General features: G+C 35.6%; 1 long non-coding RNA gene across 2 annotated transcripts in view; it reads right to left on the bottom strand.

The window, feature by feature from the left end:
- Positions 1 to 15,562, bottom strand: part of LINC03077 (long intergenic non-protein coding RNA 3077) — a 293,892-nt gene that overhangs the window by 215,352 nt on the left and 62,978 nt on the right. For both annotated transcript variants that reach the window (NR_186574.1, NR_186575.1), the window contains one exon: positions 7,839 to 7,885. This is a non-coding gene — a long non-coding RNA (long intergenic non-protein coding RNA 3077). The remainder of the gene's footprint in view (positions 1 to 7,838; positions 7,886 to 15,562) is intronic.

Raw genomic sequence — 15,562 nt, 5'->3', positions numbered from 1 at the left:
ACCATAATGCTCTAAGAGCCCTGAAGCCCAAGGACAATAGATGTGTGTACCATCCTGATTAGTGATGGCAGGAGACACAGATGGCTGTTCAACCCGTTAGGTAGTCAAGAAGGACAGCCACCAGGGAATATGTGGCAGCTTCATGCAGCCAGACCCAGACAGGTGGCAGACAGCTTGAGCTGGGCTCTTTGTGTTTGGTTTCTGACCTTATTTTAAATAACAGTAATAAATGCCTATTAAGTTTTAGCTTCACTTTTTTTTTTTTTTTTTTGCCAAGTGTTGGTGAATGGGAGAGCTGTGTCAGGAAGCTAAGTCTCAATTTTGCTTTGATATTTTTATCTTCCCCATTTCTAGTGATTCTAGCAGATGTGATCTTTCTCTGAAAAATGTAAAAAAAAAAAAAAGTTTGATGGTGACCCAGTTAGTTCTTCCTTTAAGTGAACTAACTGCTCATCCTCAAAATTTATCCAAGTCACCCCCCATACTAAGCAGCACAGTAGCCTGGCTCTATAAATGTATGAAACTCAAGGGCAGCCATGTCAAATGCAGATGTAACAGCAGGTAAATTCAGTAGGTGAACATACCTCTTGTAACTTGTTTTATTTATTGTTTGAAATACATAAAAATGCTTTAGGGAATATTACCCATTAAGGCAGACACTCAAGAAGCTGATGTACAAGTATATAACCTATGCATTGCTCTAGGCATTCTTTGATTTGTGGTTAATCCAATTTTTGTGGCTTCTCAGTTTTGCATTTAAGCAAAAGCAATTTTAAATGCTGTAAAATAAAACAAAAGTTGTTTTTGTTGTACAACTGCAAGGAACGAGAATTCTAAGCATGGCTTTCATATGAGGTGCTTTTGACAACATTTATTTGGTTCAGAAGAATGTGCTATGATCTTCACCATTCTTATAATAGAGGGAAAAGCAAAGCAAGTTAGAAAGAGTTGCCTTAAGTAATAACCAAATAGGGTCAATTTCAGACCAGAAATTCTGTGGGGCTATTCTTTATGAAATAATTGTTCTTTCTAGACCAGAAAAATATTAAGAAGAAAGAAGGAGGAAATGGAGGGAAAAAATGGACTTGTAATTCCCAGGCTTCCATTCTGCTGCAGCGTGTGGGTAAGGTAAGCATTACTGATAGGAGTTAGTTCTCTCAAAAAATAAGTTTGAAAAATATTGGGTTAAGCAAAGTTGAAGAATTGTCTTTGTTACAAGTCTTCTCAGAGTCTTTTACATGATTAAGTACATTGTGAAATTTTAAAAGTTTATATACAATGTTTGCTAAACTTATTTGATTATATAAAATCCCTTCGTCTTTTTTTGTTACCGGGCATTTCATGAGTTAGTGAGCCAAGAGACAAAAGATTCTTTCAGAACTGTGAGGGCTGAGCCATCCGCTGTGTCATATAGAGAAATAAATTATGTGAACATCAGTTGAAAGCAAGGTTAGGCACAAATCTGTGAAGATTAGGAAATAATAGCTTTAACTCAATAGTTTTCTAACTCAACATTTCCTAATGTGTGTTGTGCAGATTATTTGCTCTGAATAATATTATTACATATGGGTAAAAATGGGATCTTGTAGTCAAATGAGTTTAGGTAAAGTCTGGGTCAACAAAATTAAGCAGATTTCTTTTAAAAGGCACTTCTTAGAATGTTTCTAAAGGCAGAAACTTCTTGGGGTGGCTACGCAGTTCACAAAGATTTTCTCTTCTCTGGGAACTGCCCCGTCTTCATTTGTTCAGGCTGCTATAACAAATTCTTTTAGACTGGGTAATTTTTAAATGACAGATATTTATTGCTCACAGTTCTGGTGACTGAGAAGTCCAAGATCAAGATGCCAGAAGATTCAGTGTCTGGCAAGGGCTCATTCTTCATAGACTAGGTGTCCTCATATGGGAAAAGGGGCTAATAAGCTCCTTCTGCCCTCTTTTATAAGGGCACTAATCCCACTCATGAGGTCTCCACCCTCATGACTTAATCATTTCCCAAAAGCCCCCACCTGGTAATACTATCAAACTGGGGATTAGGTTTCAACATGTGAATTTTGGGGAAACGCAAACATTCAGATCATAGCATACCCCTATTACTCAGAAATATGTCTTCTGAAGTCAAGTATATTCTAATTCCCTAGCCATAGCTGTTTGGCCACGAAGTAAAATGTTTGAACCTCAAAGGCCCCATTAGAATAATTGTCCTTATGCAATTTTGAGCTGAGAGACACAGAAGCTGGGCATTGCTGATGTCTGTGGCACTTGATACCGGTACATGAGAACTGGATCCCAAATCTGGCTCCACTTCATACTCATGTGGGAAGTTATGCAAAAATGCTGATTCTTGAGCCCCATCCCAGATCTCCACATCAGAATATCTTGTGCCTGATTTGCACATAAAATGTTTAATAAGGATAGCTAAGAATTATTGAAGACTCACATGCAATGTGTACCAGACACTGCAGCCCTTAAGATTTTTAGGATAATTTTATACATTCTGGCCAGCACTGGTCTAAGACTGTACATTCAGGAAGCTCCATGAACTCTTGCTGCTGAGATATTCTAATTCCTTCTCTTATTGAGGTTCATTTGTTCAACCGTTCTTTTGATTTCTGTGAATTACCATAATTTTTTTCCAATTAATTACCTTTTAGCTGAAGCTAGCTCAAGTTGGTTTCTGTTACTTGCAACCAAAACAACCTTAACTAATACAGCACTGTAAATTTCCTGGAAGGTGATTATAGCATATAGTGCTTAACAAATTTATTTGACCACTAAATGCTTTTCTTAAGGAGCTTTTTATTAAACCAGTGTTCTGCCACACATGCTTTGGGAAAGCACTAGTTTAAGGTAATCGATTTAACATTGCTGTGACTTTTCTACAGGACATTTATTGAGTGTTGAATTTTAAGCCCAGTTTCTTGGGGTTTCATTAATTGTTATAATATATGTTCTTAGAATTAGGGACACTCAGTGGTGATACACACAGTTAGATGCAAATAAATAAAGCCTTGATACCCAGTTTTAGGATTGCTCTGGAAAACAAGAAGTCAGGGCTCTTCCTCATTGATGCAGTTTTATTTGCACATGATAAGCCATCTTTCACCTACAGGTATTACATAGAAGACATCTAAATTTGCAATACACCTAGAGGCAAAAGTGGTAGAATCAGATGGTTTAGTACAGGGCTGATAATTCTATGGCCATAGGTACAAAAGAAATAAGTATTACTAACTGAATTGACATAAAGTAATAATCTTCTCTTTTAAATATCTAAAATGTTGTGGAAACTCAGAAAAATAGCAGGATAAAATGAATGCAGTGGAATAGCAGCAGCCATTTATTAGCTCTGTCACTTTGAATAAGGTCCTTTACTCTAAACCTATGTCTTGTTCTATAAGATAAAGATAATACTTTTTCTCCTATGTTTCGGGTTTAGTACTAAATAAATAACAGTTAACATTACTAAGATATTCCTACCTGCCAGACACTATGCTAAATGCTTTAAATTCATTATTTTATTTAATTTTCTAAACATTTCTATGAAGTGGTATATTAGTCCATCCTGACATTGTTATAAAAAAAATACCTGAAACCTGGGTAATAAAGAAATGATGTTTCATTGGCACACGATTTTGCAGGCTGTACAGTAAGTATGGTGGCATCTGCTTCTGGGGAGGCCTCAAGGAGCTTTTACTCATGGCAGAAGGCAACGTGGGAGCAGGCATCTTACACGGCAGGAGCAGGACCAAGAGAGAGGGTCCTGATCTCTTAAACAACCGGATCTCACGAAAACTCACTATCATGATGACAGCACCAAGTAGGGATGGTGTTAAACCATGAGAAACTGTCCCCATTATCTAATCACCTCCCATCAGGCCTCACCTCTAGTATTGGGAATTACATTTCAACATGAGATTTGGGTGAGGACACAGATCCAAACAATATCAGGTGATTTACCATTTATTTTTTCTATTTTGTAGATGAGAAAACCTAGGCACAGAAGCATTAAGAACACTTGCCTAAGGTTGCCTAGTAGACAATACAGTCAGGATACAAACCCAAACAGTCCGATTCCCATGCCTACATATTGCAAGCATTCAGTATTTAACCATTTTCTCCAGGGAGCTACCTCCTTCCCTTTTGACTAATTGGCAGTAGAGAAACATATTATCATGAAAATATATACAGACTATGATGAAAAAATAAATAAATGTGTGTGGATAACACTAGTGAATTCTGGCTTCTATTCTTGGTCAAGTTAGCCACCTTTGAGAGGATGATTTCAGTGGAGAAGGGAGAGGATTGAATCACCAAGATAACCACAGAAAAACTGACAGGAGCACCTACATCACATATACAATGCTGCAGGATTCCTGGAATCTGGGTGGGATTAGTGAAGGAATGTCATCTGAAGTAAGAGTTTTAACTAGAGTATGAATGTTGTTTGGTGGAAAAGAACAGGCTACTATAAGCAGGAATAATATGTTCAAAGTCTGTCTGAGTGACAAGGAAGAGCAAACTGGTTTGTTTAGAGTACAAGACTTAGATTAAAGCATATAAGAACAATAAGAATGGCTAGATTGAGAAATGGCTAAACGATAATGTTTCCCTCACACCACTGATGTGGGAACTAGCATTTATTAATTGGATACTCTATGTGAGGTACTCTCCTAATCATTTTACTTGCATGAAATCATCTAATCATCACACCAACCCTAAGAAGTTGGCACAATCACTAGTTCTAATTTACTGTTGAGGAATATGAAGCACAAAGAAGTTCAGTAACTTACACAAGGTTGCTAGGAATTGAAAGAAGCCGAATTCAAATCTATTAATTGAGATTCAGACTCTATGATCTGTACCAGTATGCTATACTCATTGTAGCCTGGATTTGCTTTATTATGTTACTCCCTTTCTTAAAAAACTAAAGTGGTTTCTTATTATGATTATTAACAAATACACATCCATCTTTCTGATCTTTAGAGACCTCTATCAACTTGCAACTGTTAATCATTAACACCATTTTTCATCAGTCTCCCTAAATGAACCCTCCTCTATTACACATAAACTAATGAGTTCCTACTTAGAATGCCCTCTCTCTGCTGATCCATCTCTCTGAGCTTTAAAATTCAGCTCAATAAATTTAGCCATTGCCTCCAAGAAGCCCCCTCTGACTCTTTACATTGAATATCAATTCTAAATTACTCTTTTTCTCACAAAATATATTATCTCAGTAGACATTAAGTGGATATTGGTGATTATTTTGCCCTTAGTAACCTTACTTGATAAGCAATATTGACTCTATGTATCTTGAACACGTATTTTTTCACTAAGTGAATTATCAGCTACTTGTAATTAATATAATGTATCTGCATGCAATATACATGCATTTCATGTTAACCGTGTAGAATAGGTAGAAATAGGAAAATAGCACTAGTAATACAAGGGCAATTGTTTTCTTTTCTCCTCATTTATCTCCTCAATAAAAATAGATTTATTTAAAAATTCAATTTTTCTCTGATAAAAGCTTAAGTTCAGACTGTTAATATTTTTCCCAATCAGAAAGTAACACCAATGTTGTCAAGGTTAAGCCTCATCTTCTTGTTTGTGAAAATGAAATCACTGGTTCAAAAAACAACAGAATTTAGCTTAGAAATAAGTATAAATTAATTGTGCCTTTTTTAAAAAAGCAAAGGTGTTAATTATACAGGCCCTGCAGAGATTGTTTATTTCATCATTACTGAAAAATGGCAAGTATCCCACATAACAACCTTTCCTTTTGAATATGAAAATGCACTTACACAAATGCAGATATTTGTTTGGCAACTAGACAATGGAGAAGATTCCCATTTGTGCTCAGTGGAATGGAATGAGTTGGTCCTCACTAATTCAGCCAAGATTCTCTCTGCTAATGGCAAAACATGCCTGTCCCTGTAGCTAAACAAACACTGAATTATTCATTTTCCTTTGGCAAATACCATCATGGTAATGCTCACGATACTTGTTTATCATGAATGACTGTTGGGGACATCCCTTGTTAAAAGAAAAACTGTACAAACCAAGTTAATAAGGATGAATTGAAATGTTGCAGAATTCTGTGTATATGTGTATGTGTTGATGTGTATCCAAGGCTTTATGTGATTTTTGTTTTGTCTGAATATCTCATGTTTCATGTTTCAACGGAATTTTTCTTTTGTGGTCCTCCAAGCTTAGATTAAAGGAGCTAATATAAGTGACCTAGGATATACTCAGAATCCAGATAGTACCTGGCTCTTTTTTGAATTGTTAAAGGTATATAATAAAGGCTACTCACAGTGTCTGCCCTCAAAAAATTTTGTCCTTAAATAGATACACAATCATATATCTGAGTAAATGGTTGTGAATAAAAAGAATATGTAAAACCAGATCAGCGTTCCTCAACCTTTCTGGCACCGGGGACTGGTTTTGTGGAAGACAATTTTTCCATGGAAGCAGGGGGTTGGTTTTGGGATGAAACTGTTCTACCTCAGATCATCAGGTATTAGATTATCATAAGGAGTGTGCAACATAGATGCCTCGCACACGCTGTTCACAAAAGGATTTGAGCTCCTGTGACAATCTAAATCCGTCATAGATCTGACAGGAGGCGTTGCTCAGGGAGTAATGCCCAATCCCCGCTGCTCACCTCCTGCTGTGAGGCCGGGTCCCTAAGGGTCGGTGGCCTGGGGTTGGGGACCCCTGAATTAGATGGACAATGGTAAGAGCGATGATTTTCATCAGAAATTACAGAAAAGTGTTTAAATAGATTTAAACACATCATTATTATATTCCAATTATCTTAGTTGGTTAAAGCAAGTTGTTAATGAGGACAAAGTATAATGGAATTAGAAATTAAGCCAGAGTCAGAAGACCTGAGTTCTAGTTTTAGTGCACCAATTACGTCACTATTTGACATGAGCAAGGGTATCACTCTTGTTGCCCTCACAAATAAAAGTGTATGCTTGTAAAAATACAGTTCAACCTTGATTAGGAATATGCATAACAGTAGCCAAAAAGAAAAGCAAAAATATGGTTTTGGAAATAAGAGACCACTTGGCCAGAATGTTGAGACAACTCATTTTGCCCTTATTTTTTCTTTCAGAATACAAAATTCAGACAGAGCATTCTTTAAATGAGGTGACAATTGCAGCATCATTTTTTTTTTTTAGATATTTCATAAAGGATAGCCCATTATTATGTGTGTAACTAGGGCAAATTACATAACCTACCTAAGATTTAAGTTTCTCTCTGTAAAGATAGGGATATTGACTGAATGAAATTATGCCCATAAAACATTTAACATAGTGCTTGCTACATAGTAAGTGCTCAATAAATAAACACTAGAGGCAGTAGAGTATTATGAATAAGTCCACTAGAATCAGAATATCTGTGTTCAAATACTGGGTTTTCCAATTAACTGCTGTGTGACCACTGAACAACTTATTTAACCTTGCTAAATTTAAATTTTCTCTTTTGCAAAATAGGGATGATGGTATCTACCCCATAGCGTTATTGTCAACATTAAATGCAATGATACTTATAAAACAAGGCCTGGCATATAAAGTTCAATAAATGTAATTCTTTCATTGAACAAATGCTTATGGAGCATTTACCATAAGTGTGTCACTGTTTTATGTGCTGGGATACAATGGTGAACCAAGACAGAGAACAGTCCTTTCTCTCAACCATCTCATATTCTAATTGGAAAGATATATAATACATAAACAAATAATGTCAGATATAAGTGCCATGAAGAAACTAGATCAGAATAAGGGACTACAGACAGACTGTAGGGGTAGGACACATGCTATTTTACTTACGGTTGTTTGGAAAAGCTTCTCTAAAGATGTGGCACTTGATCAGAGACCTGAAAGACACAAAAAGAGACAGCCATGAAATAACTGTGTTGGGGTGGGAGGGTGGGCAGGGAAGAACATTTCAGGCAGGGAGAACAGGAAGTGTAATGTTCTTAAAAAGGGAAAAATGCTATTAACGTTCTCTAGGAAAGACAAAGACATTATTGTGGCTGAAAAATACAGAGTTAAGGGAAAAAGAGGAGTAGGGCATGAGATCAGATAGGTAGGCAGAGCCAGATCATGTTGGGTTATGTCTAATGCTAGCTATTATCATTGTTATTATTGTTAAGCTCCAGGGGTTTTGATTATTGAAATAATGCTTTATCTCATTTGGTAAATTCTTTTAAGATTCCACAAAGCAGAAACTTATGATAATAATAATGGCTGACTTTATCATTTGGCCTTTTACAAAGTGATTCACACATCTATTATCTCATTTACTCTTTTCAGAATCCGTGTAAGTTAGATAATTATTAGTATCTTTCTTTTGAGGAGACAAGGTCACAGAAGGTAAAGTCCTTGGGCACAGTCAGACAACAAAGGATGTAGAAAGTATAGGGTTCAAAGTATGTCTCTCGATTGTTGCTTTATTTACAGGATGCATCTCTGTCTTGTTGACCAGGTAACAAAAGTGATTGACAGAAGAGGATCTGATTTAGCAGGGAAATAGAGATCAGTTCCACAGTTACAAATAGAACTCAGTATCCTGATTTAATGCTTTTAATATTATCAAGTCCTATATTCAGGGTGCCTACTTGCTACTGAAGAAATAACTATTTGTTCTTAATATTCATGAATTTCATGAATAAAATTTACAAGTGCAAGACAGTGACTTTGAAGAGTCAGTAAAAATGGATAATATTTGGACACTGCTTTTAGCATGATAAAATTCTGTAAAAAATGACTTGCTTGTTCTCACCCTCTAGTGTTTTCCGTTAGTTCAAGGATAAGACTTATGAGGAACAACATCTGAATTTGATTGAACAAATGATAATCTCATTTAGGAAGAATGAGACATTTCAAACACAAAGATGCTGGCAGCTTGGTGCCAATCCATTCTATATATAACATTTATTAAGATATATCAAATGATGACCAAGTTTACTGTGAAACAGAAGATACAGAATCAAGCTGTTACTTTGTATTCTGCTTTAGATATTCCTGAGGTTGTTCTGGAAGACAAAAAATGTATAATGATACACAGTGAACTGTAAAATAGAGTAAAAATTTTTTAAGCCATATGTATTGTTCAAGACTTTTTTGCTTCCTGACATTCCAGCAGCTAGTTTTGTTATGGTTGCCTCTCTCTGCTCTGTGCTATGAGGTAAGACAGTCTGGTCAGCATTCCTAATCATATTAATGGCCCTACTGATATTTTCCAAAGAGACTTAGTTTACTATTGTGAGCTATATCACACTAAGCCAATTAGCCTGTTAACATACCAGTTGATTAGTCTGGTCGATAATATTATTAGGTGTGATGGGAGACACAATGATATGCATACATAGTTTCTGTCCTCCAGAAGTATGCAATCCAGTCAGGGAGTCCAAGCATGCACAAATACAAGTCGACTAATATACAAGAGCTTTACAATATACAACCAGTACGTTTGATGCATAATCTTACAATTTAGGCAATTTTCTGCTTTATAGAAATCCCCATTACACAAAGTCCACATTTTAAAACATTTTAGAAATGACCTATATCTTAAGCAAATAATGCTGGAACAGAAAATAAAATACTGCACTTTCTCACTTGTAAGTGGGAGCTAAACATTGAGTACGCATGGACATAAACATGGAAACAACAGACACCAACTACTAGAGGGGAGAAGGAGGGAAGAAAGTGCGGGTTGAAAAAGTACCTATGGGGTGCTAGCCTCACTCCCTGGATGCAATATATGCACATAACAAATCTGCACATATACCTCCTGTATCTAAAATAAAAGTTGACTTTAAAAATAACCTATAACAATACAAGTGAATTCTGAAAGTCCTCTATAATATCCTAAACTGGATATGTTATCTGTCTGTTGAATACAAATTAGAGTGTTTGACTTGAGACTTACTTAAAAAGGTAACTATTATATATGAAAATGTATAGAGCTAGAAAATTATTATTGCCTATTCAACACTATAGAAAGGATATTAGGACACATTTTGTTGAATAAAATTAGAAATGATGGTTAGGCATTACTGAAATGTTACTATATCCACATACATTTGGAGATAAATACACTTCTATAGTCCCAACTGAGGACCTAACCATCATTTATAGCATTGTTTCTCAAAGCATTGGCTGTGTATCACTTTCATCAAAATTGTCTGCAGTGTTTATTAAACTGCAAAACCCTGAGCTTCAGCTCATATCTACTGAACCTAAATATCTTGAAGCAAATTTCTGGGACTCTATATTTGTAACAAGTTCTCTACCTCCAGGTGTACACCAAAAGATTGGAACCACATTTAAAGCATAACCACAGTCTTTATAGAGCAATACATGCCATTCTAAAATTACTCACCAATTTTGTATATAGAGCATTAATAATTGAGAGAGGCATGTTCCCTTCCTTTGACAACCAGTAATGTTTTCCCACTGCCCTCTTTTTTTTCTATTTGTTTTTCTTTTACAGTGGCAAAACATATATAACATTAAATTTACCATTTTAATCATTTTTAAGTGTACAATTCAGTGACATTAATTATATTCACAATGTTGTGCAACTATCACCATGATCTATTTCTGAAATTTTTTATCACTCCACACAGAAACTCTATACTCATTAATGAATAACTCCACATACACTTTTCCATCAATCCCTTATAACCTCTAATCTACTTTCTGTTTCAATGAAATTGCCTATCTTGTATATTTTCTATATGGGAAGTCATACAATATTTGTCATTTTGTGTTTGGTTTATTTCACACAGCATAATGTTTTCAATGTTTGTCCATGTTGTAGCATGTATCAGAATTTTATTCCTTTTTATGGCTGAATAATGGTCAATTATATGGTGTCTTAATCAGCTCAGGCTGCCATAAAAATGCCATAGACTGATTTGAAGTGGTATTTCAGTTTGGTTTTTATTTGCATTTTCCTAACGACTAATGATATTGAGCATTTTTTCATGTGCCTATTGACCATTTGTGTATCTTCTTTGGAGAAATGTCTATTCAAGCCCTTTGCCCATTTCTTAATTGGGTTTTTTGTCTTTTTGTTGTTGAGATGTAGGAGTTTCTTATATATTGTGTATATTAAGTCCCTCTCAGATATATAATTTGTTAGTATTTTCTCCCATCCTCTAAGTTGCTGTTCACGCTCTTTTTTTTTCTTTTGGGTTAAGCCAACTAGTGTGCCTTTCTTTTATTTTTATTATTATTATTATTATATTTTAAGTTCTGGGGTACATGTGCAGAACGTGCAGGTTTGTTACACAGGTATACACGTGCCATGTGGTTTCCTGCACCCATCAACACGTCATCTACATTAAGTATTTCTCCGAATGCTATCCCTCCCCTGGCCCCACACCACCCCGAGAGGCCCCGGTGTGTGATGTTCCCCTCCCTGTGTCCCTGTGTTCTCATTGTTCAAATCCCACTTAAGGGCGAGAACATGTGGTGTTTGGTTTTCTGTTCTTGTGTTAGTTTGCTGAGAATGATGGTTTCCAGCTTCATCCACGTCCCTGCAAAGGACATGAACTCATCCTTTTTTGTGGCTGCATAGTATTCCATGGTGTATATGTGCCACATTTTCTTTATCCAGTCTATCATTGATGGGCATTTGGGTTGGTTCCAAGTCTTTGCTATTGTGAACAGTGCTGTTCAGTCTCTTGATAGTGTCCTTTCAGGTACAAAAGTTTTTAATTTTGATGAAGTCAAATGTGTCCATTTTTAATTTTTTAGCCTGCATTTCTGGTGTTGTATTTAAGAAGCCATTATCAAATCCAAGAGCCTACATATTTTCCCCTGTGTTTTCTTCTAAGAGCTTTACAGTTTTTGCTCTTCAATTGACATTTTAGTTAATTTTTGTGTATGATGTAAGGTAAGGGTCCAACTTCATTCTTCTACATGTGTATATTCAGTTCCCCTAGCACCATTTGTTAAATAGACTGTTCTTTCCCTCATTGAATAGTCTTGGCTTCCTTGTAAAAATTACATTGACCATAGATATATGGGTTTATTTCTGGACTGTCAATTCTATTCTATTGGTATATATGTACACTTTTAAGCCAGTATGACACTACTTTGATTACTGTAGCTTTGTAATAAGTTTTGAAATCAGGAAGTGTGGGTCCTCCAATTTTGTTCTTTTCCAATATTTTTTGACTATGGTGGGTCTCTTCAAATTCCATATGAATTTTAGAATGGGTTTTCTCATTTCTGTAAAAAAAATGCAATTGGGATTTTACTGGGATTGCACTGAATTTGTGGATTGCTTTGGCAGTATAGTCATCTGAGTAGTATTAAATCTTCAAATCCACGAATATAGAATGTCTCTCCATTTATTTAGGTCTTCTTTAATTTCTGTCAGTAATGTTTCATAGGTTTCAGTGTACAAATTTTAAACTTCTTGGAAAGTTTGTTTATATGTATTTTTGATAATATCGTAAATGAAATTATTGCTTTAATTCCCTCTGTACATTATTCATTATTAGTGTGTAGAAATACAATTGATATTTGCATGTTTGCTTTGTATCCTACAATTTTGCTGACTGTTTTAGCTCTAACAGGTTCTTTTGTGAATTCTTATGGGTTTTCTAGATATAAGATTTTGCCATCTGCAAATGCAGATAATTATACCTCTTCCTTTTTATTGGATGCCTTTTCTTTCTTTTTCTTGACTAATTACTTCGGCTAGAACTTCCAGTACTATGTTCCAGTACTATGTATCTTGTTCTAGACATGCTAGTTCCTTAAGCTGCATAGTTAGGTTACTTGCTGATTTTAGATATTTCTTTTTTACTGTACAAGTTTACAGCTATAACTTGACATCTAAGCACTCCTTTAGCTGCATCTCATAAATTTTCCTGTATTGTGGTTTTCTTTTTTCATTCATTTCAAGGAATTTTCTAACTTTCCTTCTTCTTCTGTGACTTTCATATGCATATGTTGTTTTGCTTGATGCTACAGGTGCATTAGGCTATGTTCACTTTTCTCATTCTTTTTTCTTTCCGCTCCTCAGACTAGATCATTTTAGTTGGCCTGTCTTGAAGTTTGCTGAGTCTTCCTTCTGCCTGCCCAAATCTACTGTTGAACTTCTCTAGCAATTTTTTTCATTTCAGTTATTGTGCTTTTCAGCTCCCAAATTTGTTTGGTTTCCTACTGTAACTTCTATCTCTTTATTGATATTTTCAGTTTGTTCATACATCATCTTGCTATTATTCTTTAGTTCATTTTTATGGTTTCATTTAGCATTGAACATGTTTGAAACTTTTGATTTAATGTCTTTGTCTAGTAAGTCCAATGTGTGTGGTTCCTCAGGGATGGTTTCTGTCTATTTATATTTTTCTTTGAATGGGCCAAAATCAAGCACTAGTCATTCCTGAGGCTTCAGGAGAATTGAGGAGTTTAAGATTTATTGTATGGAGTTGGAAAAACCAATTCATTTTTCATGTTACTGTTAATTCTGGAAAAGAATAATCACTGCCCCTTCCAATGTTGAGGGGGTCTGATATAATGAATTTGTCACAAATGTCTGGTTCATTTCCTTGAGAGATTTTACCAACTCAAAAGCTCAACATTAACTGCTGACATTCAGACAGGTCAGAATTTAGTAGAGAGAGCAGCTAGATCATAATTTGTGTGAAGGAGTCATGCAGTTGAACTTGGGCAGAGCCTCCATCGCTGCCATCGTGGTTGTTCTGTTCATGTGCCCAATGTGCCACCACTCAGGGATGGTCAAGTACAAATGACGACTAATTTTCACTGAATGAGTTAGTCTATCTATCTGGTTGTTCAGTGCCTCTCTGTGGTAGACGTTTTCTTAGGCATTAACACAAAACATGCAGTTTCACACCAGTTTATGCCATTTCCATTGGTCCATTAAAATGTCTGTTTCCCAGAACTCCTTGTCTCTGACCTTCCAATTTTGCTTCTTCCATATCTCTAACCAATCCAATATGTCACTGACCATTGACTATGAGCCCCTACATTCTTAACTCTAGGCAGTTTTCTCTCCATTGACAATAGGCATGGGAGATTTGAGGAGATCTTATCATTGGGGAGATTTCCCTCACTACTGTTCTACAAAGCCACCCCTGAGTGGTGTGATAGCATACCAGCAATCAATTGCTTGCTTCCACCAACATACTGAGTTGTCTCATCTACGAACCAGACTCAGGAAGTACTGGGTTTATGTAGCAGCAATAACACTAGAGCAATATGAAATCAATAGTAAATATAAGGATTGTGGAGTTGTCTGGCTTTTGTTTATTTTCTTGAATACCTTAATAAAAAGAGAATGACAGGCTCAAGTCACCCATTAACAACTCAAAACAAACATGGAATGCATGAGGCCAATATATTAGTTTTCTAAGGATTCCATAAAATATTACCACAGTCTGAGAATAGAAATCTATTTCCTGACAGTTCTGGAAGTCAGAATTCTGAAATCAAGGTGTCAGAAGCATTGGGTTCTTCTGGAGGCTCTAAGAAAGAAACTATCTCAGAACTCTCTCCTAGTTCCTAGTGGCTGCCAGCAAGTCTTGGCATTCTTAGGCTTGTAAGTGTGTGACTCCAGTCTCTGCCTCCATCTTCATTTGACCTTCCCCCATGTATCTCTGTGTTTTCTCCTATATGTCTAAGTATACTCATAATTGAATTTAGTGGCCACCCTAAATCCTGGATGATCTCATCTTGAGAGCCTTAACTTAATTACATCTGCAGACAACCCATTACCAAAAAAGATCACATTTATAGGTACCAAGAATTAGAACTTTGGCAAGCTTTTAGGGCCACTATTCAACCCACCACAGCTACTATGGCAGTATTTAGCAAGATCCTCATCTTCTGCAGTCCTAAGGCAGACTGCTAAAAAACAAATATAGGATTTAATTGTAAGGATAACAGAGATACAAAGAGATAAAATATGCAGCTTGACAGGTCTCATATGCTAAAATCAGGGCCCTATCTGATAAGGATGGCATAAGATTCTGAGACCTATGAGGTAGAATTTTCAGTAAATTCATTTGATAAAAGAATGGAGGTAAATCAATAATTTGTGGCAATTAATTCATTATTTCATTTTAAAATATTTTTTCTAATTTTAAGATAATTGTAGATATATAAAGACCTAACATACACAGCATATCAATTATCATATTTAATGAACAATATTTTGAGATATTTGTCTGAGCTGTATTTTTTAAATAATGTTACCTTTCCATTCTTCTCTCTACCCTTACTCAAAGGGAGCCATTATAGTAGTTAACAACAGCCTCTCTGATAAGGTGACAAGTATATGGAAACTTGAAGGAAGACAGAGAGAATAATAGAGTCATATGTATATCATTCATAAGAACATAAAATATTATTTGTGTTCTTAAACTTTACATACAGCTTTCAATTTGTTTTTGCAAATTTTTTTTCCTTAATGCTGTGTTCCAGATTTATTCATATTATTAGTTGACATGGTCATTCTGCATAAGTAGGATGAACTCCTTCATCCAAAATTTGGCTCACATATTAAA

The sequence above is a fragment of the Homo sapiens genome, chromosome X (genome assembly GCF_000001405.40).
Source record: "Homo sapiens chromosome X, GRCh38.p14 Primary Assembly".
Classification (NCBI taxonomy): domain Eukaryota; kingdom Metazoa; phylum Chordata; class Mammalia; order Primates; family Hominidae; genus Homo; species Homo sapiens.
The sequence above is the reverse complement of the archived record's forward strand: the minus strand, read 5'-3'. Positions and strand labels throughout refer to the sequence as shown.